Consider the following 25,059-nt stretch of genomic DNA (forward strand, 5'->3'; position numbering starts at 1 on the left):
CTCGAGCAATCGTCCTGTCTCAGCCTCCCAAAATGCTGGTATTATAGGCGTGCACCAGCCCACCTGGCTGATGGAACTTATTTTTTAAAAAATAAAATGATTTTTGTTATTTCTCTCTCTCTTTTTTTTTATAAAACAGCTTTTTTAGATATAAATCCCATACCACATGATTGACTCAGTTACAGTTTTGGTCAGTGCATAACAAAACTGCATAACAACGTTTTGGTCAGTGATGGACTGCGTAGACAACAGTGGTCCCATAAGATTATTATACTCCATTTTTACTGTATTTTTTCTGGGTTTAGATACATTACCATTGTGTGACGATCACCTACAGTATTCAGTACAGTAACATGCTGTGCAGGTTTGTTTGTAGCCTAGGAGCAATAGGGTACACCATACAGCCTAGGGGTGTAGGAGGCCATGCCATCTAGGTTTGTGTGTGTACACTCTGTGATGTTTGTACAAGGATGAAATTGCCTAATGATGCATCCCTCAGAATGTATTCCTATGATTAAGTGATGCATGACTGTATATATGTGAGTGTTTATGCCAATACAGCTATATAGCATTGAGCTAAATTTATTGCATTAGGGTAAATTTCCAGAAGTAGAACTGATAGACCAAAAAGTAAATATATTTTTAGGTCTTCTGATCCGAATCACCAAATTCCACCCAGTAAATTGGTGGTAACAATTTACCCTCCCACCAGCACTATATGAAGCTGCCTATTTTTGTATAGTTAATTTAATTTGAGGTTTCTTAACTAAATGGTGTTCTTATTTCAGGTGTACTTGAAGGGGAGGTCTGGAGACAAGATGATTCACGAGAAGAATATTAACCAGCTGAAGAGTGAGGTCCAGTACATCCAGGAGGTGGGCACCCCTTACCTCTCACGCAGTGCCTAGGTCATTTCTCTAAATCTCACATTTTTTGTGACTGTCTTCTTTTGTGGATTCTGGTTTTTCCCCTTCTTTTTCCTTTATGTCTCTGAAATGCCACCATGCCCTCCCGTGTGTCAAATATATAACTTTTGACCATACCTGATCCATTAATCCACAAATACTTAAGTACTATGGGCCCAGCACTGTCCCAGCCACCTATCGAAAATTACCAGCCACTTTTCACAGCATTTCTTAACTCCCTTCCTGGCTCGTGTTTCTCGTTGGCACTTATGCCCATATAACATATTACACATTTTACTTATTTGTCTTTTGTGTCTTGTGTCTCCCCAACAAGAATGTCAGCTGTAGCTCCACTTGACCAAGGTCCCTCCCTCCATCCTGCAGCCAGTCGTTAGGACAGTGCCTGACTCGCAGTACAGGCCAGGGATGGGGCACAGAGTTGGGTGAGTTGGCATGCTCTCTTTCTCTACCCTAAAGCTCAAGTTTCTTCCCCTCCCCTCCCAGGCCAGGAACTGCCTACAGAAGCTCCGGGAGGATATAAGTAGCAAGCTTGACAGGAACCTAGGAGATTCTCTCCATCGACAGGAGATACAGGTAATAGGAAATGGTCCATGGTTGGGTCCCCACCGAGGAGGTGGGGTTGTGCCAGGCAGTCTCATTTACCAATTACCCAGTGTGTGCTAAATCTAGCATCCCTGCCAGGAATGGAGAAAATAGAGGTGATGCTGGCTTCTCTGGAGCACTCACAATCTGGTTAGGACTCTCCAGCCGATGAGCACTTACATTTACACATGTCAGCTTAAACATAAGTACACCTGCTCCTGAAACACTGTACAGAAATTGAACTTATATAAATTAAATATCATCAGTTGTTAGCAAACCTCTTATCTATAAGGATTCTGTGATCAAGCTTCTTATAATAATAGAATTTTGTAAAGCAGACAATCACCTGTAAATCCACACTTCTCATAAGCTGATCTTGCTTAGTTTGGGTGATACCTGTAGCGTAAATTGAAGTCCGTGCCCTAGCCTGTTATTAATCTTGTATATAGTTATGTCTAACCTGGGATGGGAAGTTCCTCAAGGTTAGGAGTTCACCCCACCCCACCCCACCTCGTGTCTGTATCCTCACCCTCCCATTCCCCCCAGGTCTGGGATGTAGAAGGCATCAGTAAATGTTTGTTAGACTGAACAGATTGGGTAAGTCTTTCCTGGGAGGGATAATCCTGGGATCCTGCTTTTCAGTTTTTCCAAAACTCGAGGACAGAAATGTCCTCAGGAGAGCAGAGCTGTCTCTTTGTGACTTCGCCCTCATCCTTTAGATTCTGAGTTGTATCCTTGATTTGCATTTTGGTTCAGGCAGAGTCTTGCTCCAGCAGCAGCCCCTGCCTTCATTCCCTTGAGGGGAACAGTGGCCCAGCAGCTGGTGCAAGGAAAGTTCTTTGTCTTGGGCATGCACTTGTGTGGTGGAAATTACCTAATTTTTGCTTTGGCTGAAGGTAGGTCTTTCAGTGCTTGAGCTCACATCTGGCTGGTGGGAGCTACTTTGTCAGGTATCAGAAGAACCTAATGTGTGCAGAGACTGGCCCAAAGTCCAGCCCCCTTGTTTGCACAAACCGGCTGTCATATGATGAATAATCAGGCTTTGGGTCAGAAATAATTGAAAAAGATCTTCCCTTTGTAATTTTTGCTTTGTCAAACTTTATCAGGATCCCTGGGGGCAAGGGAAGCTCTTTGTTTGTGGCAGGCAGCTGCATGTATTCCCTGGCTAAGAAGAATGGGCTACACATACTTTTCCATCTGCTGAAAGATTTTAGCCTGAGGTTTTTTTCATCCTCCCTACAAGACTTTCAAGGCCCTTTCAAGGCCGCATAACATCTCTCCACCCCCTCTTGTTTCTATTTTCTCATGGAACGCTAGAAATCTTTTCTTCTTTCGCTTCGTTCCTTCTTCCTCTTCTCCTTTCTTCATTCCTTCCTTTTTCTCCCTCCCTTTCTTTTTCTCTCTCCCTCCCCCTCCCTTTCACCTTCCTCTCCCTCTCCCTGTCCTTCTCTTTCTAAGATTTGAGTGTTAGGAGAATAATGTTTCAAAGTTGGTTGCTTTCATCTGTTTTAACTACCAATTTTATTTTTCTTTGAACAGGTGGTGCTAGAAAAGCCAAATGGCTTTAGTCAGAGTCCCACAGCCCTGTACAGCAGCCCACCTGAGGTAGGTAACAGAGGACACCATGGTGGCTCCGCTTAGCCAGGGGCAGGATTGCCTCCTCCCCATCCTTTTGTTTATTGCTTTCTCTCTCTCTCTCTCTCTCATTAAATACAAGAGTAGTAGTTGACATAAAAATTCAAACACAGAGAAATACAAAGAGTAGAAATTCTCCTTCCCCAATCTCTCTCCTTGCGAGTATCCACTGTTAACAGATTGAAGTGGGTGGATCTTTCTAGGGCAGTGCTTCTCAGCCTCAGCTGTTCATTGGAATGGCCTTGCAAGCGTTAAAGGATATGATGCCTGGGTCCCATCCCTAGAGCTTGTCATTTCATTGTTCCAATAGGTGGCCTGGGCATCAGGACTTTTAAGAGCTCTTCAGGTGATACTAATGTTTAGCTAAAGTTGAGTGCCAGTATTCTAGAATATTTTTATATACATAGACAACCATATTTAAATATCATGTATATGTTATATACACACCATATATACATGATAAATATATGTATATAATATACATGTGCTTTTCTCAACTATAAGATCATGGTAAATACATTATTCTTTGCTTGCTTTTTTTTTCTTAACTAAAGAGTATATTATAACCTTCTTTCCATGTCAGTACATATAGATCTACCTCATTCTTTTGAATAACTACATAGTATTTCCTTCCATGGCTGTACTTGATTGATTGACTGATTGATTGATTGATTGACTGACTGACAGAGTCTCACCCTGTCACCCAGGCTGGAGTGCAGTGGCAATCATGGCTCACTGCAGCCTCGACCCCCGGGGTTCAAGCAATCCTCCCACCTCAGCCTACCCAATAGCTGGGACTATAGGGCACGCGCCATTATGCCTGGCTAATTTTTGTAGAGATGGGGTTGCCCAGGCTGCTCTTGAATTCTTGGGCTCAAGTGATCTGCTTGCCTCGCCTCCCAGAGTGCTGGGATTATAGGCATGAGCCACTGTGCCTAGCCTACTTTTTAAATTTTTATAATTATTATTTTTTGGGACAGGGTCTCCCTATGTCATCTGAGCTGGAGTGCAGTGGTGCAGTCATGGCTCATTATATTCTCAACCTCTTGGGCTCAGGTAGTCCTCCTGCCTCAGCCTGGGAGGGACTGTGGCAGCCACTATAGTGGCTGGGACTATAGACACGTGCCACCACACCTGGCTAATTTTTGTATTTTTTGTAAAGACAGGGTCTCATCATGTTTCCCAGGCTCATCTCAAACTCCTGGGCTTAAGTGATCTGCCCACCTCGGCCTCCCAAAGTTTTGGGATTATAGTCATGAGCTACTATGCTTGGCCTCCATGACTGTACTTTATTTGTTATTTTTTGAGATGGAGTCTCGCTCTGTCACCCAGGGTACAGTGCAGTGGTATGATCTTGGCTCGCTGCAACCTCCACCTCCTGGGTTCAAGCAATTCTCGTGCCTCAGCGTACTGAGTAGCTGGGACTACTGGCGTGAGCCACCACGCCTGGCTAATTTTTGTATTTTTAGTAGAGATGGGGTTTCACCATGTTGGCCAAGCTGGTCTCGAACTCCTGACCTCAGGTGATCCTCCCACCTTGGCCTCCCAAAGTGTTAGGATTACAGGCGTGAGCCACTGCACCCCGCCACCATTACTGTATTTTTAAAAAGTGTGTTATTATGTTTTTTTGTGATTATACAATACAAAACATTCATATTGTAGAAAATTTGGAAAATTCAGAAACACAGGAAAGTGAAAGAAGAAACAAATATCACTTGTAATCTACTCAGAGAAAAACCACAGTGAAATTTCATCTTTCCCCGAATGCAAATATATATTTACCATGTGAATACATTGTACAGTATGTAGCATTTCTTTATAATTTTTTTTTTGTTTCTTTAGTTGGGTATGTTTTTGCATTCGGTGTTTTTGGCCCTCAAGTATAGGTTGAATCAGACCCACCCATTAGTTCATGACACATCATCCTCATGGGTCCTGTCAAGGCCTCTCACTGGTTTCAGTTTTTTGTTTTTTGTTTTTTTTGCCTCTCCACCTCCTGCAAGAGAAACTCACTCTAATGAATTCAATATATGGCTTTAAATATGCCTGTAAAATGTTCAGTATACATGATGAACTTGTGCTATATCTTCTTCCCTCTTTGTTCTTGTTTTCCCTGGTACCGTGTTTTTTAGGATCTATCTACATTGCTGTATTAAAATCTAGTTCATTGCTTCTGCCTCCTACATGTACTTTTATAACTTACTTTTTTGCTTCATGTTATATCATATGATGAAATAATATTTTCATGAAAGTTTTCCATGTCATTAAACAGTCTTATGAGAACACTCTTTGAAATAAGTGCATAATAGCTGTGTTCCAGGAACCTTTTAAAGGCCATTGGCTCAGGTGAGGATTTAGGGAAATTGACTGGATAACTCATGACATCTAGATTTGGAATGCTGTGATTCTAACCACTTGCTTTAGATGGGCAGCTTGGACTTTCTCCTTCTTTTGAATCACCATATTTGGCAAATACATTGTTGGCAACAAATTATAATAACACCTGGTAATATCTGTTTGGCCTCTTTCTTCTCACAAGCTCAAAGCTGTACCGGATGTTATCTTACCTAGTTTTGAGGCAGCCTGTAAGGCAGGGTGTGGTAGGGAGTGTACTGACTGCCTCACAGATAAAGAAATGAAGGCCCACAGGACTTCACTTCTTCATTATCACCCACAGGATGATGATGCAGAGACTGGGACACTGTCTTCCTCCAGTGTCTGGTGCCTGTGCAGCAGAGACGGGGGTGAGACCCTACATGTTAGCTCATCTCTAACCACCAGCCCACAGTTGGGTGTGTCTGGGAGAGACTGAGCAGTTACCTCGATGAGACACCTTTTTCCACATCGAATCAGATTCGTGGACTCATTGCATGCTTTTGCCCTAAACCTGTCCATCCATCAGTAACCCTTTATATGCTGCTGTCAGTGCCAAAAGCTGAGAATGGTAAAGGATGTGCTTTTGGACCACTCCCTTTGTGATGGGCGCGACATAGTCCCTGTCCTGTGGGAACTCTAGTCCAAAGGGGAACATGGTCTCTGCTCTCAGAGAGCTGTAGGCAGATAGAGGGAAGCAGGATGCACACCTACAGACAGCATCCACATATTCACCAAGAAATCGATTAGTGGATACATACATGAAATATTACTGAGCATGTCCTAAAATAATTGGGTGTTTTGAGGCTAGCAGGGTTCTTTAGGGTATGAAGGGACAATGTTTCATTGAATAACTCAGAATTCCTGGCTGCCTAAGGTAACTCTCCCCTTGTGTGATGACAGTTCTTTTTTGAGGGTGGTCTGGACGAGATGGTCCAAACCAGTGTGTGCCTGGGAGGGGGGACCTTTTCTTACTGAGTCAGAAACTTGAGGGCTTCCCCTTCCCTTCCTTGTTCTGGCTGTAGGTGGACACCTGTATAAATGAGGATGTTGAGAGCTTGAGGAAGACGGTGCAGGACTTGCTGGCCAAGCTTCAGGAGGCCAAGCGGCAACACCAGTCAGACTGTGTGGCTTTTGAGGTGAGATTTGGGATTTGGGGAGAAGGTGCCCTAAGGGATGGGCTACTGAACACAGGTGCCAGTGATGTCTCAGCTTGGACTTCCTGTCTTTCTGGCTGAGTGCCACAAACTGGAAAGGCAAGGCTGTGAAGCCTGGAACGCTTGTCTGCTTTTCCCTCTCCTGGACGTTTACACTGTTTACTGTCCAAGGCCAGCCCATAGTTCAAAGGTCAGCTCGGGATTCTCTGCTCTGATGAGTTTGAGGGTGGTGCCCATCTGGGGCAGCCGGTGATTCAGAAGTCATTTCTGTCTGTGTCGTGGTAAGAATCCCTGGGCTCTTGAGACTCCGTGCAGGCAAGGACTGCTGCTGACATGTCACCCCCGAGTCTCCAGTGTCTGGTGCAATACCTGGTATTAGATAGGTGCTTCATAAACGTGGACTGGATGAGTGACTAAATCTGTGTTGTTGTAGAAAGAACTGTACCCATCGAGTTGGAGGATTTGGGCTCTAAACTCAGCTTTGCTATGCAGAGCTTTGTGGTCTGGAATGAGTATCTTTTTTTCACTCTGCTGCCAAGCTGGAGTGCAGTGGCGCAATCTTGGCTCACTGCAACTTCTGCCTCCCGGATTCAAGCAATTCTCCTGCCTCAGCCTCCCGAGTAGCTGGTACTACAGGCATGCGCCACCATGCCCAACTAATTTTTGTGTTTTTAGAAGAGACGGGGTTTCACCATGTTGGCCAGGATGGTCTCGATCTCCTGACCTTGTGATCCACCTGCCTCAGCCTCCCAAAGTGCTGGGATTACAGGCACGAGCCACCATGCCCGGCCTGGAATGAGTATATTAATTATTGTTATAATACAGAAATCTATAAATGGAGAGTAAAAGCCCCCTACTATATGTGAGGTCTTCCATATTTTCTAGAAAATTCTTTGAGTATAAAACAAGGTACATGGGCAGTTTTCTTTCTGTCTTTGGAGACAGGGTCTCACTCTATTGCCAGGCTTGAGTGCAGTGGCATGATCTTGGCTCAATGCAACCTCCATCTCCCGGACTCAAGCCATCTCCCACTTCAGCCTCCTGAGTAGCTGGGACAACAGGTGCACACCACCATGCCTGGCTAATTTTTGTGTTTTTTGTAGAGACAGGGTCTTGCCATGTTGCCCAGGCTGGTCTCAAACTCCAAGGCTCAAGCAGTCTGCGTGCCTTAGCCTCCCAAAATGTGGGGATTACAGGCATGAGCCACCACACCTGGCCCATGGGCAGTTTTCCAACTGCTCTGTGTGAGGTTAACCATCTGTTACCTGCTTTTGTTCTTCCACAAGTAATGTATTCTTTGTGTTATAAATATGTTATGATAGGGTTATAGCCTGCCTAGGCATGCTAGGAGCTGGTAAAAAGAGAAAGGCCAGCTTGAACTCTTCATTTTCATGGAACTGAGAAGGAGAATTTTTGAGAAGAGGCTTGGCGGTGAGGAGGAAGGGCACCAAGGATGATAAACTGCTTCTATGTTAGCCGAAGTATTATTTGAACAAGTAGTTTAACCTCTCCAAGCATCTGTTTCAACTTTTGGAAAAAGGGTTAATGAAATACACCTTACAAGTTTGTTGTGTAGATCGAGTGAGGTAATATATGTGAGGGCACTTTATTATTCTGAAGGGTTTTAGAAATATAAAATAGTCTATATTTTTCTTAGCAATCAGTTTAACAAGGAGATTTTCCTATTTTAATAGCTTGGACTTAGGGTAATATTAAAATTAGTTTGTCATCTCAGAACAAAGTAGCTGTGTGGTGAAGAGGTATGTTGCATCTATTTCAGATTCCACAATTTGTATAATTTAGTTGGTGATGTATCAGTTGGTGACCAGCAGTTTCCTACCTTTTCCAAACAAAACAGGAAGAAAGGAAGGTTGAGGCTCTAGCACTGACCAGGTTGTGAATTTTGGAAAAAAATTTCTGCACTGAGAGACATTATGAAGTTGTGGAAATTATAGAAATATTTGCTGGTTTTAATCACACATGGAGGAGTCTGCCGCTCTGGATTTCAGAGCCTGAGCAAAAGTGCCCTGACAGCTATAGCCCACTGCCCAGAATTTAGAAGGGGTTATTTTTCTTAACCCCATAGTATGCAGGACCACCTGCAGCAGTAGGAGATGCTTCTTCTTGCTGGGCGCTGTGGCTCACACCTGTGAGCCAGGAGGCCTCAGGAGGCCTCAGGAGGCCAAGGCAGGAGGATCCTTGAGCCCAGGAGTTTGAGACCAGCCTGGCCAGCATAGATCTCATCTCTACAAAAATAAAAAAATTAGCCTGGTGTGGTGGAGCATGCCTGTGGTTCCAGCTACTTGGAAGGCTGAGGTGGGAGAATTTTTGGAGCCCAGGAGGTGGAGGCTGCAGTGAGCTATGATTGTGCCACTGCACTCTAGCCTGGGCAACAGATTGAGACTTTGTCTAAAAAATAATAAATATGGTACATAAATAATTTTTTTTTTAAAAAAGGAGGTGCTCCTCGGGTCATTCCCACTGTTGGGCTAGGTTGGCACACCTTTTTATAATTAAGAGGTTCCCTTGCGGGCAGGGTTGGCTGGAGCTACAGAGTCAAATGTGGAAGGGGAGTCTATTTTTTTTAACCTTTTGCTCCGACAGTGGGGTGCAAGAATCAGACCATGGCCTTATTAACACTGTGCTTGAGCTCACATCAACCTAGGTGCAGTGTTTATTTATGTACAGAAATGTACATAAATAAACATAAATAAATGTACATAAATAAAATTTTTTTAAAAGGCCTTACTTTTAAGTTCCTGCCTATGGGGATGGCCTATTTCAGGTTAATATGGGTCATATGAAGGCTTGTCTCAGTCTCTCCTAGTGAATTGGACTCCTTGGTCTACTTTTCTGAACCTATGGGTAGGAAAGGCAAGATGATCAATTACCATGAAAATAACTTGCCATTAAGCATGGGTTTCCTGTTCTACTGGCTGCTTGCTGTCAAGAAGGATTTGCAGTGAGAGTGAGTTTGCTCTGGACATGGCTGGTGTGTAGCATGGACACGTCCCATCACACATCACCTGTGCCGTACTTTCTCCTCCCCAGTTCTGACCTTGGGAGGGGCTGGACGAACTGGCTGCTGATGTTCTGTTTTCCCAGGGCTGGCTGCTAGGCTTTCCAGAAGTTACCTGGATTCTTTTTTAATAAATGATGAGCAGTCAGTGTGAGGCACCTGGGAAGCACTGAAATGGATGGTGAAGTATCTGGGTGCTAGCACTGGCTGTCATTCACTAGCTGTGTAACCTTGACTAGGTCAGTTGACCTTTACTTGTTAAAGGAGAGGGTTGGATTAGAAGAACGTCAGTTCCACTCATTATTTTATTGAGTAGTTACTGCATATGAGGTACTGTGGGAGCTCTGGAAGTGTAATGGTGCTCAGGTCTGTGCCATCAGGACACTGACAGTCTACTTCGGGGTGCACAGAGTGACTGGGCAAAATCTGTTCAATGCTATGAGAGGGAAGGCCGTGTGTTCCTTGTATGTCCTCTCCCTGGACACACAAAGGAAGGGCTCCTCCCCCAGGCTCTGAAGGCTCTCTGGAAGAAGGGGCATCTAAGTGAGACCTGGAGGATGAGTAGGAGTTGGAAAGATGCAAGTTGGAAGAAAGGAGGCAAGTTCTTTGCTTTCTCATTCTAACATTCTGCTTCTATCCTCTAAATTGGTTTCTCATCTCTGATAAAAGGCTCACTCCTGTAATCCCAGCACTTTAGGAGGCCAAGGCGGGCGGATCACCTGAGGTCAGGAGTTCGAGAGCAGCCTGACCAACATGGATAAACCCCGTCTCTACTAAAAATACAAAATTAGCTGGGCGTGGTGGCACATGCCTGTAATCCCAGCTACTCGGGAGGCTGAGGCAGGAGAATCACTTGAACCCAGGAGGCAAAGGTTGCATTGAGCCAAGATCGTGCCATTGCACTCCAGCCTGGGCAACAAGAGTGAAACTCTGTCTCAAAAAAAAATAATAATAATAAATAAATAAGACAAATTCTTCCTGATGCTTAGTAGCCCTTCCAGGTGCCATTTTGGCTGTTGTGTGTGGGCTCTATTGCTGGAAGTGAGAGGGGAGGTGTTGAGGAGACAGAAGAAAGGAACTGGAGGTATCCTCCCTGGGATTATTTGCTTTTGAATTTGTAGGAAAGCCACAACATTGGGTTAAGCTTGGGTGGTGGTGGAGGGTTCATGGGGATGTTGAAGGAGTCACCTATCTGAAAAGTGGTGCTTGTGGGTTCCAGGTGTCACTTTAAAGTGGACCTCAATCAACTGTGAGCCAGTTAACCCTGGAAATAGACACCCTGCTGGAGTGCTGAGGTGGTCCTGTGCAGTGAAGGGGAGGTGGTGGTGAGCCCATCAGTGTCACCACCTTTCTCCCGTCATGGCTCCAGAGCCGCCCAGGTTCCTGGGTTCTTTTCTAAGGTTTTTTTCCATGTTTGCTCTTTTTTCCACACCATTTAACATATTCCTGCTCCGTGTTTTAGGTCACACTCAGCCGGTACCAGAGGGAAGCAGAACAAAGTAATGTGGCCCTTCAGAGAGAGGAGGACAGAGTGGAGCAGAAAGAGGCAGAAGTCGGAGAGCTGCAGAGGCGCTTGCTAGGGATGGAGACGGTAACCGGGGGATCTTGCTTGTCAGTGCCTGGACTCCTGGGCTGGAAGGGGCCTGCAGGTGGATCGAAACGGTTGCCGAGACCCTTCTTTTCCAAGCCTCTCCAGAAAAGCACACTTCGCACCTTCCTTTGGCAGATCCCTTGGAATACATTTTAGCCTTCAAGGAATTAGCCTCCCCCTAACTAGAGTTGATCCTATTTCCACATTAGATTCCTGTACAGATGCCCCTTTTGAAGTCCTGGTTTCTCAGGGACTGGCAGCCATAGCTGGCGAGTGGGCCTGCATGATGCAGGGCTGGGTTCTGCCTCAGGGCAGCTGGGTGAGGCTGAGTGAGAGTGGGAAGGGTTCTCCTCATCAAGGGATGGCTCCCCATCAAACCAGCTCATCTTGCTGCTCTTTGGCAGCTGTCCAGGCCCAGTAGGGGCTGAGTCCCAGCCTGGCGCCCATCTTAGCCCAAACGCAGAAACTGTTGCCATCTTCTCATCCTAGATTTTCTTTTGTGGCCCACCCAGGAGCATCAGGCCTTACTGGCGAAAGTGAGGGAAGGGGAGGTGGCCCTAGAGGAACTTCGGAGCAACAATGCTGACTGCCAAGCAGAACGAGAAAAGTAAGGGCTTGGCTCTTGTTCACGGTGAAGTTGGGTTGCAGGGAGGGGAGGGCAGGCCATACAGCCTGTTGCTCCTGTGGTGGCCTGGTCTGGGGAGGAAGCTGGTGCTGATGTCAGATCTTCCAGCTCTGACTCACCGTGAGCTTGCTCAGGGTGGAGCCCCACCCAAGAGATACCATTTGGGAGGCCGCCATCTCCAGGGAGTTCATTTTCCATGGGGTAATAACCTAAAGAAAAGGCTTTCACAGTTTTAGAGCCAAGGGCAAGCAAGAGCTGGTGGAGCATCTGCTGTTGCTGTGTGTCATTCCACAGATTAGTGCAGTGGATATGTTATGCCTTCGTTTCCTCCCCACCGAAACAAAAATTGACTGTAAACTGTTTGAGGGTAAAATTGATTAACAGTCATGCTGATGAAAAATGGAATGAGCAGCTTCATGAGGAGATACTGAACTTCCTGTTACTTGAAGCAATGCAGATAGAAACTGAGAACCACCTGTCAGCAGGGTCCCGTAGGTGATCACTGAGATCCTTTCTACCTCCAAGGTGAGAGGGTTTTGCAAATTCCCTCTGATCAGAGGAAATCAGAGGCCCCAGACAACCAATGAAGCCTACAGAGCAAAGATTGTGCCTTCTAGAACTTCAGGAATTTGGAAGTTATGCTGTTGGCAATTAATAAATAAGACCTCAAATGGTAAATCACATTTAACATCAGCATATTTGGTTTGATCTTCATTGTGTAAGGTGGACCTTTTTTAGTTCAACAAGACATTATCTGAAGGGCCTTTTAAGGAATTCCAAGATGAACAGACACAATTCTTGCCCTTCAGGGCCCCTCAGTCTTGGAGGCATTTTCTCTCCTTTAGGATAACCTAGATTTGACCTTCCTGGCATGGAAAATACACGTGTCATATTGTAGCCTCCTTTCTGACTGGACTTTATATCAGAATTAATATCAGAATTAGTCAGCACTCCTTCCTCGGTGGGTAGGTGCGCATGGGCAGAGCAAGAGAGACCAAAAGGACTAGATAATCGGAAGCCAGGGTTTGGGAATGGCAGTGACAGCTGTGCCATGTACGTGCTGATTTTCTACCTAAAAGGAGACTGAGAAGTAGGGCATTGGAGAGCTGAAGGTGGAAATTTAGAATGCTTGGAGTTTAGGAAGGATAAGGGGTAGCTCATGTTGCATTGTACCCCAAGCAGCATGCGCTTGTCAGCTTCCTCAGGCAGAACTGGGGAGTGATGGATTCTTCAGGGGCCCAAACCCCAGGATACTCTCCCAAGTAGCCTGACTAGAAGAAGACTGTTCCTCTACTCCTAACACTTCTTACACCAAATATGTGGGTTTTCCATACCAAGCACTTCTCCAATTCTCAATTGATACCAGCTGGGCACCCTACACTTTAATTCAATTCTGAGACGACCCAGAGTTAGTGCAGAACCACAGATTAAGGGCCAGTCCTGCAAGACTGCCCCTGCTTCAGATGCCAGTCACAAGTAGTGGGGTCTAGGGTACCTACACTTCTGTCCAACTTGGCTATAAATTGGGGGTTCCCATATCCTCTTTTCAGGTTTGTTAACTTGCTGTAATGGGTTTGCTGTCATAGAACTCAGGTAAACATTTTCCGTATTTATTTATTTATTTTTCGAGACGGAGTCTCACTCTGTCGCCCAGGCTGGAGTGCAGTGGTGCAATCTCGGCTCACTGCAACCTCCGCCTCCTGGGTTCAGCCTCAGCCTCCCAGGAGGTAGCTAGGACTACAGGCGTGTGCCACCACACCCGGCTAATTTTGTGTATTTTTAGTAGAGATGGGGTTTCACCATGTCGGCCAGGTTGGTCTTGAAATCCTGACCTCAAGCAATCTGCCCGCCTTGACCTCCCAAAGTGCTGGGATTACAGGCATGAGCCACCGCGCCTGGACTACTTATTTTTTTAATTTAAAAAGTTTTTCATTGACACAGGGTCTTGCCATGTTGCCCAGGCTGGTCTCGAACTCCTGGGCTCAAGCAATCCTCCCACCTCGCCTTCCTAAAGTGCTGGGATTATATTCATGAGCCACTGCCCCTGGCCAACATTTCACTTATTACTGGCTTATGATAAAGGATAATATAAAGGATTCAAATGAACAAACAGATGAGGTACATAGGGCAAGGTCAGCAGGTGGATGCATTAACCAAGCTGGAAGCTCTGAACCCCTTTGTTTAGGGTTCTTGTGGCGGTTCATTACATTGGCATGATTGATTAAATTATTGGCCACTGGTGATTAGTTTAGTCTCTAGCTCCTATCCCCTGTCCCTTTCCCAGAGGCTAGGGGGAGTTGTGGGGCTGAAAGTTTCAACCCTTTAATCATGCCTTGGTCTTTTCACTAGCCCCATCCTGAAGCTATCTAGGGACCCCAGCCACCAGTCATCATTAGCATACAAAAAGACACTCATCAGTCTTGGAGATGCAAAGGCTCAGGAACCAGGGAATGTGACCAAATATAACAAAACATAGGTGCTGTATGTCAGGAACCGGGACAGAGACCCATTATATATTTCTTATTATTTTACACTGCCCTTTGGGGGATCTTGGCTCAGTTTGCTTAGAAGATGCAAAGGAAGCAACAGTGGTTTGGGAATCAGGAGACCTAGAAACAAAATTGTGTGAAGAGGCTTTAAGGAGCCTCAAATTCTGTCTTTCTCCTCCAAATCCCTGCCAACAGCTTGATGGTGTTGAGTATAATAATCCCAGCTCCAACTGGGCATGGCGGCTCACACCTGTAATCCTAGCACTTTGGGAGGCCGGGACAGGAGGATTGCTTGGGTTTAAGAGTTCGAGATCAGCCTGGCCAACATGCTGAGACTGTCTCTACAAAAAAAATTTTTTTTTAGTTAGCCAGATGTGGTGGCATGTGCCTGTAGTCCCAGCTACATGGGAGACTGAGGTAGGAGGATTGCTTGAGCCCAGGAGGTCAACCTGGCAGTGAGCCATGTTTGCATTATTGCACTCCAGCCTGGGCTACAGAGTGAGACCCTGTCTCCGGAAAAAAAAAAAAAGAAAAGGTCGGAGAGGGAAATCCTAGCTTCTACTTGAATCTTTCCAGTAACGAGGAGTTCATTACACATGAGACTGGCCACTTTCTGACAGCTTTAATACTAAGAAAGTCTTTCCTGTGTTAATATAAAAACAGCTTCCCTGGAACCATCTACCTGTTGCTTCTAGATTTACCCTCCAGAGTTATCCAGAATGACTTATCCCTTCTAACCTTTCCGAGCCTCAGTTTCCTCTCTTAGACTAGGTGATCCCTGATGATGCTTCCAATGTAATATTCTTTTTTTTTGTGAGACAAAGTCTTGCTCTGTCACCCAGGCTGGAGTGCAGTGGCGCCATCTTGGCTCACTGCCACCTCTGCCTCCTGGGTTCAAGCGATTCTTGTGCCTCAGCCTCCTGAGTAGCTGGGACTACAGGCACACGCCACCACACTTGGCTAATTTTAGTATTCTTAGTAGAGGTGGGGTTTCACTATGTTGGCCAGGCTGGTCTTGAACTCCTGACCTCAGTGCTTCCAATGTGATATTCTAAGGTACCCACCACCTACTCTTCAGAGCAGCCTACCAGGGAATCAGGCAAAGGGAATCATATTAATGGGAACCTCCCAAGCTCAAGGCTCTTCCTGTGACTGGGTAAATAAGTGATCTTGTTCCATTGCCTCAGCCTTCTGGTCTTTATCCCCAGGGCTGCTACCCTGGAAAAGGAAGTGGCCGGGTTGCGGGAGAAGATCCACCACTTGGATGACATGCTCAAGAGCCAGCAGCGGAAAGTCCGGCAAATGATAGAGCAGGTAAGTTGGGCTGGTTTGTAACCTGCCCTCGGGGAGTCACCCCAAGTCTATGCTCTTATTTGTTTCCTAGGGAGCTTGACTTATATTCATGCATTTCCCATGTCAAACATTTATAGCTACCAATTACCAGGTTCAGGTTATTAGGATTTGCTTTTCTCCCATCTTTCCCCTACTGTTTTGTTTGTTTGTTTGCCATTTGGCCTCTGCTTTCCAATAGGAAAGGAAGGAAAAGGTTAATTTGTCATATACTCTGTGAAGAGTGTGGGTAAATGAGTAGTTGAGTCATAATAAACTCTGTTATCTGTGCAGATTATCAGTCTTTGAGCCTCATGGCTGCTTTCCTGCCTTACCCCACCTGAGCTTGAGGGTAGCATACTTAGGATTTGTCTATTTGCAGAATTGTTTTGAGAGCCTAAGGCCCCATAACTGGGAGGCTGTATGTGCTTCATGTCAGCTCCATTAGTGTCTGTTTTATTTAGTGCTGTTTTCCATTATCTCGAACAGAGTCAGTCATATAGTAAGTACTCAATAAATATGTCTTGAATGAAAAAATAATTTGTATTTTCCAAAGCCATATGGAATGGGTTTTGTCATTCATTATTTTGGATTCTCAGGGTGGTATTCCCCTCACACACTCCTCACTCCCACCCCTGGGATAATCAAGAGTCTAATATTGACTGAAAGGAGGCCTTTGTAGAAAAGCTAATGAAGTCATATGGAGTTGCAGGGCTCTGCTGCCTTCCCCAGCAGCTGGGGTGAAGTCTGGTGAGTGTGTAATGAGTCATTGCAAAATGAGCTCCAGTGTCTCCCACACCTTTGCAGCTCCAGAATTCAAAAGCTGTGATCCAGTCAAAGGACGCCACCATCCAGGAGCTCAAGGAGAAAATCGCCTATCTGGAGGCAGAGGTGTGTGTGCTGGGCAGCCCAGCAGGGGAACAGGACTCTTGAAGAGAAGGTGGACATAAGGGAGACAGAGGTTATGGGAGGGGTCTTTGTCATGTCTTGCTGTTGCTCTGAAGTGAATACCTAGGGTGGTTGGTTGACTTTCAGTTCAGCTGAATAAACATTTTCTGAGAACCTTCAGGAAGCTGCTAACAATGATGAGATGACCACCCCCCTGGCCCCACCTTCAACGGACATGTCATCATGGTGCAAGCCACATGCCATGGCTGCACACGGCTAATTCTGACCCTCCAGGCTTTGCAAAGGAGCTGGCAGTGGTGCTGGGCTGTGAAGGAGGAGGAGGCATTCATACAGATGGAGCCTTTTCCAGGGCTAGATTACGTAACGAGTTGCCTTCCTAGTCTAATTTCCACTTTGCCACAGGGCCCTACCTGTCTGTTGACTACCTGAAGATCACTTTGCGAACGCTCTGTGAAGATCCCCTGTAGTGAGGGAGAAAAATGGGAGAAAGGGTTATCTTTAGAGAGTTTGCAGTCTATAGTCAGAGATAAAATGTGTATTTTTAAAAAGACCAAAGAATGCTTTATAGAATAGCGTATCAACAAAGGCAAGTGAGTATCTCAACTGAGGACAAAAAATTATATATAGGGGCCAGGTGCAGTGGCTCATGCCTGTAATCCCAGCACTTAGGGAGGTTGAGGCGGTAGGATTGCTCGAGGCCAGGAGTTCAAGACCTAGGCAACATAGTGAGACTTTGTCTCTGAAAAAGAAAAAATTTTTTTAATTAACCAGATGTGGTGGCATGCATCTGTAGTCCAGTTACTTGGGAGACTTAAAGGAGAGGATCACTTGAACCCAGGAGGTCGAGGCTGCAGTGAGCTATAATCACGCCACTGCACTCCAGCCTGGGCAACAGAGTGAGACCCTATCTCAAAAAAAAAAAAAAAAAAAAAAGAACTGTATGTAGAGGACATATAGGAAACCATCAGTCTGTCAGTGTTGTACAGAGTTATGGAGGAGCAGGTATTGGAGGATAAGCGCAATCTATGGTAATGAAGATGAGGCAAGTGGGTATCCAGGTGGTGGCACGCATGGTGGGGGTAGAGGCAACAGCAGCATAAACACAGGCAGAGAGACCAGAATGCACTAGCTGAACGTGGCACCCGGGAAGCCAGAAAAAGGCCAACTCTAACCCCTAAGCTTGTGTTACAGAATTTAGAGATGCATGACCGGATGGAACACCTGATAGAAAAACAAATCAGTCATGGCAACTTCAGCACCCAGGCCCGGGCCAAGACAGAGAACCCGGGCAGGTGAGTGAGCGTGTGTAGATAGAATGGGGCCAGGGAGGAGGGGAGAAGGAGGGACAGAGCTCTGTAGAACCTTTAGTGCTAAGGCAAGAACAAGGCTCCTTTAAATCCAACTTTCCTCCCTCAGTCTGACCCACTGTTTGCCGGAACCATTTTCTAGCCCAATTAGAGTAGAACCTGTTAACACAAGCCCAGGGAGGTCCATGAATGGCTTCTAGAGATGTATGAACCACCTGAAATGGTAGGAAAAATTTAGTTATAATGTTTGCATATTTCTAGGGAGAGGGTATTTTGCCTCTAAGAGATTCAGAAAAGGACCCATGATCTTGACAAAATCGAGAATCACAGCTATATCCACTTCTCAGTTGTTTAACTGCCCCTCTCTTTTCTTCACCCTTGCTACAAGACACATGTATCATGCCCCAAATCTTCCCCTAGTTGTCACTGATAATTACTGTTTTAAAGCACTTGGAACCCAAGTGATCAGCCAGCACTGCAGTGTAAGATTCCAGAGGCCAATGTGAAGATTCCAGGGGCTCTGTGAAGGGTGGGCCACAACACAGCTGTTCCCAGCACAACTCAGTGTTTCCAACCTTCTTTTCAGTATTAGGATATCCAAGCCGCCTAGCCCGAAGCCCATGCCTGTCATCCGAGTGGTGGAAACCTGAGCTGCCTGGAGATGGTTGCTGCCATTGCTGCTGCCTCTGCCTCGGAGAAGCCCACTGCCCCTGTTGGCTGTTAACACTGCCTTTGACTTCCTGACTGTCCCCTGGCTGCACCCAGGACTTCGGGCTCCTGTGTCTCACCATTCCCAAGCCCCTGGCCACTCTAAGCTGGGCAGACGGAGCACGAGCACCTATTCAAGGCACTGCAGCCCTTTGGAAGACATTGTCCTGCAAGCAGGAGCCAGGGCAATATCTATATTCCTACAGTGACTATTTTTCTCTGTAGAGAGCCTCCCTTCTGTTGTAGACTGGACTCTGGCTGTGCCATAAGCCAGGCCTTCATCAGATTGGGAGAGGTGACAAGATTTGCCTCAGCCCTAAAAGCTGGAGACACAGATGTCCAGAGTGATTGGAGAATGTCCTGGGGGAATGAAGTTCCTTCCACAAACACAGCTCAGTTCTTAGCAACAAACTGTTTGTTTTTCTACTTGCTCCATCTGCAGCCTACGCTGCCCTGGCCTCCTGCAGACAGATAGTGGGGTTACCTGGCAAGGCCTGGTGAGAGCCAGTGAACCTAAGCTTTGACTGGGTGGCCTTGTCTTTCTGGGGAGGAGGGAATGTACATTCAGGGAGTAGCCTTTTGCGGAAAAATTCTCTAGGGCTACAGACAGTCATGTGTGACTTCTCTCTGCTGTGAAAACTCCCAGAGTCTCTTTAGGGATTTTCCCTAAGGTGTACCACCAGGCACACCTCAGTCTTCTTGACCCAGAGCCTGAAAACTGTTTTCACTGGGTTCCACCAGTCCCAGCAAAATCCTCTTTGTATTTATTTTGCTAAGTTATTGGTGGTTTTGCTTACATCTCATGATTGATATAATACCAAAGTTCTATAGCCTTCTCTTGCAGTATTTGGATTTGCTTGAAACCGGGAAAACTGTTCCCATTAGGCTTGTTAATGTCAGAGTGACACTATTATGAATCTTTCTCTCCCTTTCCTCTGCCTGTTTCTTCTCTCTTTCTCCTTCAAACTTGCTCTGCAGCTAAGGAAGGTGAGTCTACTTTCCCTGAGGCTTTGGGGTCAGAGTATATGTTGTTTGGAGAAAGAGGGCAATCAGGACTCTTCTGGGACCCAGATGAGTTCTTCACTAGCCCTTCTGAACCCCTTGCTCCATAATTGGTCTTTTATCCTGGCTCTGAATGACCCTGCAGGTCATCATGGTTTTCTTTTTTTATTGTTTTTTTTTTTTTCTGAGACAGAGTCTCACTCTGTCACCCAGGCTGGAGTGCAGTGGCGCGATCTCAGCTCACTGCAACCTCTGCCTCCCGGATTTAAGCGATTCTTCTGCCTCAGCCTCCCGAGTAGCTGGGACTACAGGTGTGCCACCACGCCTGGCTGATTTTTGTATTTTTAGTAGAGATGGGGTTTCACCATACTGGCTAGGCTGGTCTCGAATTCCTGACCTCAGGTGATCCACCCACCTCGGCTTCCCAAAGTGCTAGGATTATAGGCTTGAGCTACTGCGCCCGGCCCATGGTGTTTTTCTTTAGGGCTCTTCCTACAACCTTGAGAAGTAGATAGGCATCAGAGTATGGTACTATAGGAATCAGAAAAATTCAAAACAAATGTGGATTAAGTGTTTAGGCTCTATGTGGCTCACGCAGCCAGAATCCTTAAGTCTGTGTGTTTCTGTGTCTCAAGACTGGGCTCACATTCTGGCTTTGTCCATAACAATGCTCTGGGATTTCAGGGAGTTCCCTCATTTGTAAAATGAGGGGGTCAGAGCAGGTGATATCCATGTTTCTTCCCTTTCTGATATTGTTGTCTGTGGCATATTCTTTGTATGGCGAATTTAATAAATTATATTAATGTGTCTCTTTGACCTCCTGGTCTGGTTTCCTTTCACTTTTCAGGGAGGATGAAAGAAGAACATTTTAGTGCTTCTTGGAAGATGGGCACCCTGTTATCCACATGTGGGAGGTGTGGTCCAAACATCCCAAATGCCATGATATGAGGACTTTGTGGCATTTATAGAGGTATTAGAAGAAGCTCACCTCCGTGCTCTGAGTCGTGATTGTAGGAGGCAGCCCCTAACTTTAGCTTTGACCCTCTCTGGAGCAATGGCCTTGTAGGATCCCTAAGCCTGGCCGCATTGTGTCTCATTTGGAAGAGATAGAGGTAGAGTCCTGTGATTACATAGAGATAGAACAGCAGCACTGGAGGTAGATGAGTAACTGCATGCCTTCTGCAGAAATGAAAAGCACTCTGGAAATGCTGACTGCAGCTGTTCAAGGGGGTTCGTTTCTGGCTGTCTCTGGGCATCATTCAATTAGTCTCATGATTTTTTTTTTCCTTTCTGCCAAGAAGGCAGTTGACTGCAGGGCCAAATGGGGACATAGCTGAATTTACATGAATCTTCTCTGGGCCAAAGAAACCAGAAACACAACAACCCCTCATCCCTGGCTTGTTTCCTTTCTAGCTCCCATTTCTCTTCTTCAATTGAAAGAGTGTACATTTTTCTCTGATTTCTTCCCCCTTCTCCTGCTTCTCAGCCAATTCACACCACAGGCTTCAAACACATTGGAAACCTCTTTCCTTTGCAGACCCGGATTTGTCTTCTGACACCCGTGGCTCTCTTCTTTCTCTGGCAGTCTTGTTTGGCATGGCTAGATCTAGACTGTACTTGCTCTTAGAATATTAACAGGGTGGAAGCAGGGCGGGGTTGACCAAGGTGCCAAGAAGACTCACAGGGCTGGAGGAATACTGGAGTGAGTGTGCTGCCATACATGAAAGGGAGGCTCCCGCCGGGCCTCCTGTGCTCAGTGGGAGGAACCAAGATTTGGGTTGCAGATAATGGAGCAGTCTGGAGGCATTCCAGAGACTCGAACCAGGGGTCTAAGAGAGTCCTTGGACAAAAACATGCCACTGGTGTATATTTCCTAGAGTTTAGTTATGCCACAACCAAAGAGAGTAGGGGCATGACACAGGGGAGCGGGGGGCACAGGTTTGGAAAGGGAATGTAGTCAGGGAAATACAGTTTGTATCTTGGTGATCTTGTCAATTAGAGACGGAGAATGGGGAACTGGAGGAGAATGAGATGGTGTTCAGGGCCTAAAGAAAAGGTGTGGCGAGTAAGGCTCTTGGCTTTAGTGGCCTGTTTATTGCCTATGTTTTGTCATTTTTAAGCCAACTCCTCTGTGCTGCCTTAATATTTTGTGGAGGGAGGATAGAGTCTGATTCCCTGGGACCTCTGCCATGAAGGCCTGTTTCTTTGAGCTGGGTGTTGAGAGCTGCTCAGACATGCAGCCGTCATCAACAGCGTCCTGTAAACCTGGAGCGTCAGCCCAGCACGGGAAAAGAAGCAGCAGCACCCTGCCTGCCGAACAACTGCCCCATCTTCCCCATCTTCGTCTGTTCTTTCCCCTGCACAGAAAAAAGCCTGGCAGTGACACAGTATTTCAACCAAATGGTGCATTGGAACCTTTTTCAAACTAAATTTCTAAGGCCAAGAATTGATTGGCTCATTTTCATCTCTATTTAAACGTACCTTTTGCTATGATATGTCCCACTAGGAAGTGTTTCCACTTTGGAAAGGAAAGGTGCTCTGACATGGCAGGAGTTAAAGCAACTTAATTAGGCTGGGCGCAGTGGCTCACGCCTGGTATCCCAGCACTTTGGGAGGCTGAGGTGGGCGGATCACTTGAGGCCAGGAGTTTTGAGACCAGCCTGGCCAACACAGTGAAACCCCGTCTCTACCAAAAAATAAAAAAATTAGCCAGGTGTGGTGTCGGGTGCCTGTAGTCCCATCTACTCAGAAGGCTGAGGCAGGAGAATCTCTTAAACCCCAGAGGCGTAGGTTGCAGTGAGCAGAGATCGCCCACTGCACTCCAGCCTGGGCGACAGAGCAAGACTCCGTCACACACACACACACAAAAGAAAAGCAACTTAATTTGAGGAGGGTAACAGCCTTTGGGTTGGAAAAGCAAGCAGCTTTCCCTCTTTAACCAGCTTTTTAGTGTGTGTTGCTGTTTTCTGCAGGGCCTCTAATAATCCCCTGGCTTCCTCATTCCTGAGAGCCAAGCATCACTGCGCTTGGGCCTGAGCTCCTTCAGGCTATGACTCAACAACAGGTGTTAGCCTAGGGCCCTTGGCCTCTTTTTTCATATTTCAGTTTAAGACTTTAGCTTTGCAAGGAGAAATTGTTTCCTGTCTTCCCTGTCCAAGTTCTAAGCAGGATGGCCTTGAAACTCCAAAGTTGGAGACCTAAATATTCTCTATTCCCTCTTTCTCCAAGGAAAATCCATACCCAGGCTGAAGATAAAGATGTTTCTTAAAGGTAATTTCTAGCACAGCATGCTCTGTAGCAGTGAGACCTACTTTAAACACAAAATGTGTGTGGCCTTTCTGCTGGAATTTCTCTTCTCCTGGAGCCCCCTGAGACACAGAATTGAGGGTAGATAGTAGCAGGATAATTAATTTCCTAAAAGGTGTTGGTCGCCAAGTCTTAGACCACAGGACCTCAGACAGCTGAGGGAAAGGAAGTCATGAGTACTCGTGACTTAATCTATCAATTCAGTGCTGATTACACACCCAGCCCTTCCTCCCACTAGGATTCCAGGCCCAAACTTGTATATGTCTGCAGGAATTTTATCCTCCTATGTATGTTTTGTTTTTATTTTATTTATTTTTTTGAGACAGAGTCTCACTCTGTCACCCAGGCTAGAGTGCAGTGGCATGATCTTGGCTCACTGCAACCTCTGCTATCCAGGTTCAACCAATTCTCCTGCCTCAGCCTCCCAAGTAGCCAGGACTACAGGTGTGTGCCACAATGCCTGGCTGATTTTTGTATTTTTAGTAGAAACACGGTTTCACCCTGTTGGCCAGACTGGCCTTGAACTCCTGGCCTCAGGTGAGCTGCCCTCCTCGGCCTCCCAAAGCGCTGGGATTACAGGTGTGAGCCATGACGCCCGGCCCTGTGTCTGTTTTATATCTGTCCATATGTGCTTGTGTGTGAACTGGCCTGCTATGTACAATATATTTCTTACTGTGGGAACAAATCTGAAGAACACTGGCTTAGAGGACAGACCTCTGTCCTTGGCTGTATTGTAATCTCAGGATCGAGGTCCAAAATGGACTTCCTTCCAAACTGCTCCCTGTCCCTTTATCCCTTATATCCAGTTTGTCAACAGGTCCTCACGTTTCCTCTGTTGAAATATCTCTCAGGGGCTGGGCGTGGTGGCTCATGCCTGTAATCCCAGCACTTTGGGAGGCCAAGGCGGGCAGATCACCTAAGGTCAGGAGTTCAAGACCAGCCTGACCAACACAGCGAAACCCCATCTCTACTAAAAATACAAAAATTAACTGGGTGTGATGGCGCACGCCTGTAATCCCAGCTACTTTGGAGGCTGAAGTAGGACAATCGCTTGAACCCAGGAGTGAGCTGAGATTGCGCCATTGCATTCCAGCCTGGGAGACAGAGCGAGACTCTGCTAAAAAAAAAAAAAAAAAAAAAAAAAAGAATATATTTCAGAAGTGTGCCTTCCCATGTTGACAGTCTCAACTCATCTCTTGAAGCCTAGATGACCACTGAAGCCAGTCCTTGCTGATCTCTACCTCTAGCCTCTTACCTGCCCCACATCTACCCTCCCCACCACTGTCATTTGAATCTTCCTGGAATGCAGTGTTCTTTCTGTCAGTCAGGGCTATTTAGCCAGGACAAAAGGAGGATGATAGCAGTTTCCAAAAAGATGAAGGTTGGTCTCTTGGGAGGAGCAGCAGCAGTTTTGCTCCAGAGGGCAGAATCTGGATGGTGTGGGGTGGTTGCAGGGAGATAGCCAAGAAACAAAAGAATCCATTGACAATTCGAGGAGGGTGGGCTGTCTTGGCAAGTAGCAAGTTTTCCTACACACACCAGCAGTATCTCAATTAGAAAACAACATAAAATATAACAAGAGATAGAAAATACCTAGGCATAAGCTTCATTTGAAATGTCAATGACCTATGTGAAGAAAATGACCACATTTTGTGGAGAAAGATGGGAAAACAATGAAGAAAAATTTTCCTGGATGGAAAATTAAAATTGTAAAGATGTCAATTCTTTATTTTTAGGCTTTGTGTAATTACAGTGAGTTACATTGTAATTCAATAGAGTCTTTTTAGAACTGGATATAATTATTTTAAAATTTCATCTGGAAGAATAAATGGGAAAATGGTAAAGAAAATTTGGAAGGCAGAGCTAATTTGGGAGGATTATTAGCCTTGGCAAATAGCAAAACATTATATAGCTTATACATCAATTTAAGAGACTAGCTAGGCAGAAATAGACTCAATTATACAGTATAAGCATTTAAAAAGGATAAAAGCAGCATTGCAACTTAACGGGGAAAAAGGTATTTGAACAGTTGGTTAAAAATTTGGGAAAAGGCTGGGCGCGGTGGCTCATGCCTGTAATCCCAGCACCCTGGGAGGCCGAG

General features: G+C 45.9%; 1 protein-coding gene across 6 annotated transcripts in view, besides 2 other annotated features; it reads left to right on the forward strand.

Annotated features, from left to right (window-relative positions):
- TUFT1 (tuftelin 1) overlaps positions 1-20,468 on the forward strand; it is a 43,275-nt gene extending 22,807 nt beyond the window's left edge. For all 6 annotated transcript variants that reach the window (XM_017002223.3, NM_001301317.2, NM_020127.3 and 3 more), the window contains 10 exons: positions 789-875; positions 1,410-1,499; positions 3,048-3,113; positions 6,542-6,655; positions 11,155-11,283; positions 11,796-11,890; positions 15,606-15,711; positions 16,534-16,617; positions 17,827-17,927; positions 18,529-20,468. In XM_017002223.3, coding sequence (XP_016857712.1) covers positions 789-875; positions 1,410-1,499; positions 3,048-3,113; positions 6,542-6,655; positions 11,155-11,283; positions 11,796-11,890; positions 15,606-15,711; positions 16,534-16,617; positions 17,827-17,927; positions 18,529-18,592 — 936 coding nt within the window. In that variant the 3' untranslated portion in view covers positions 18,593-20,468. The remainder of the gene's footprint in view (positions 1-788; positions 876-1,409; positions 1,500-3,047; positions 3,114-6,541; positions 6,656-11,154; positions 11,284-11,795; positions 11,891-15,605; positions 15,712-16,533; positions 16,618-17,826; positions 17,928-18,528) is intronic.
- Positions 5,658-5,952: a silencer, noted in NCBI's record as "tiled region #12940; HepG2 Repressive non-DNase unmatched - State 15:Elon". NCBI's record gives its function as "represses a minimal TATA promoter and a strong SV40 promoter by Sharpr-MPRA in HepG2 cells {active_cell/tissue: HepG2}" and the evidence as "EXISTENCE:reporter gene assay evidence [ECO:0000049][PMID:27701403]".
- Positions 11,350-12,549: an enhancer, noted in NCBI's record as "MED14-independent group 3 enhancer chr1:151546941-151548140 (GRCh37/hg19 assembly coordinates)". NCBI's record gives its function as "activates an origin of replication core promoter dependent on BRD2, BRD4, P300/CBP and CDK7 cofactors, and independent of MED14, by STARR-seq in HCT116 cells {active_cell/tissue: HCT116}" and the evidence as "EXISTENCE:reporter gene assay evidence [ECO:0000049][PMID:35650434]".
- Positions 20,469-25,059: the final 4,591 nt, after the last annotated feature.

The sequence above is a fragment of the Homo sapiens genome, chromosome 1 (assembly GCF_000001405.40).
Source record: "Homo sapiens chromosome 1, GRCh38.p14 Primary Assembly".
In the NCBI taxonomy this organism is placed as follows: domain Eukaryota; kingdom Metazoa; phylum Chordata; class Mammalia; order Primates; family Hominidae; genus Homo; species Homo sapiens.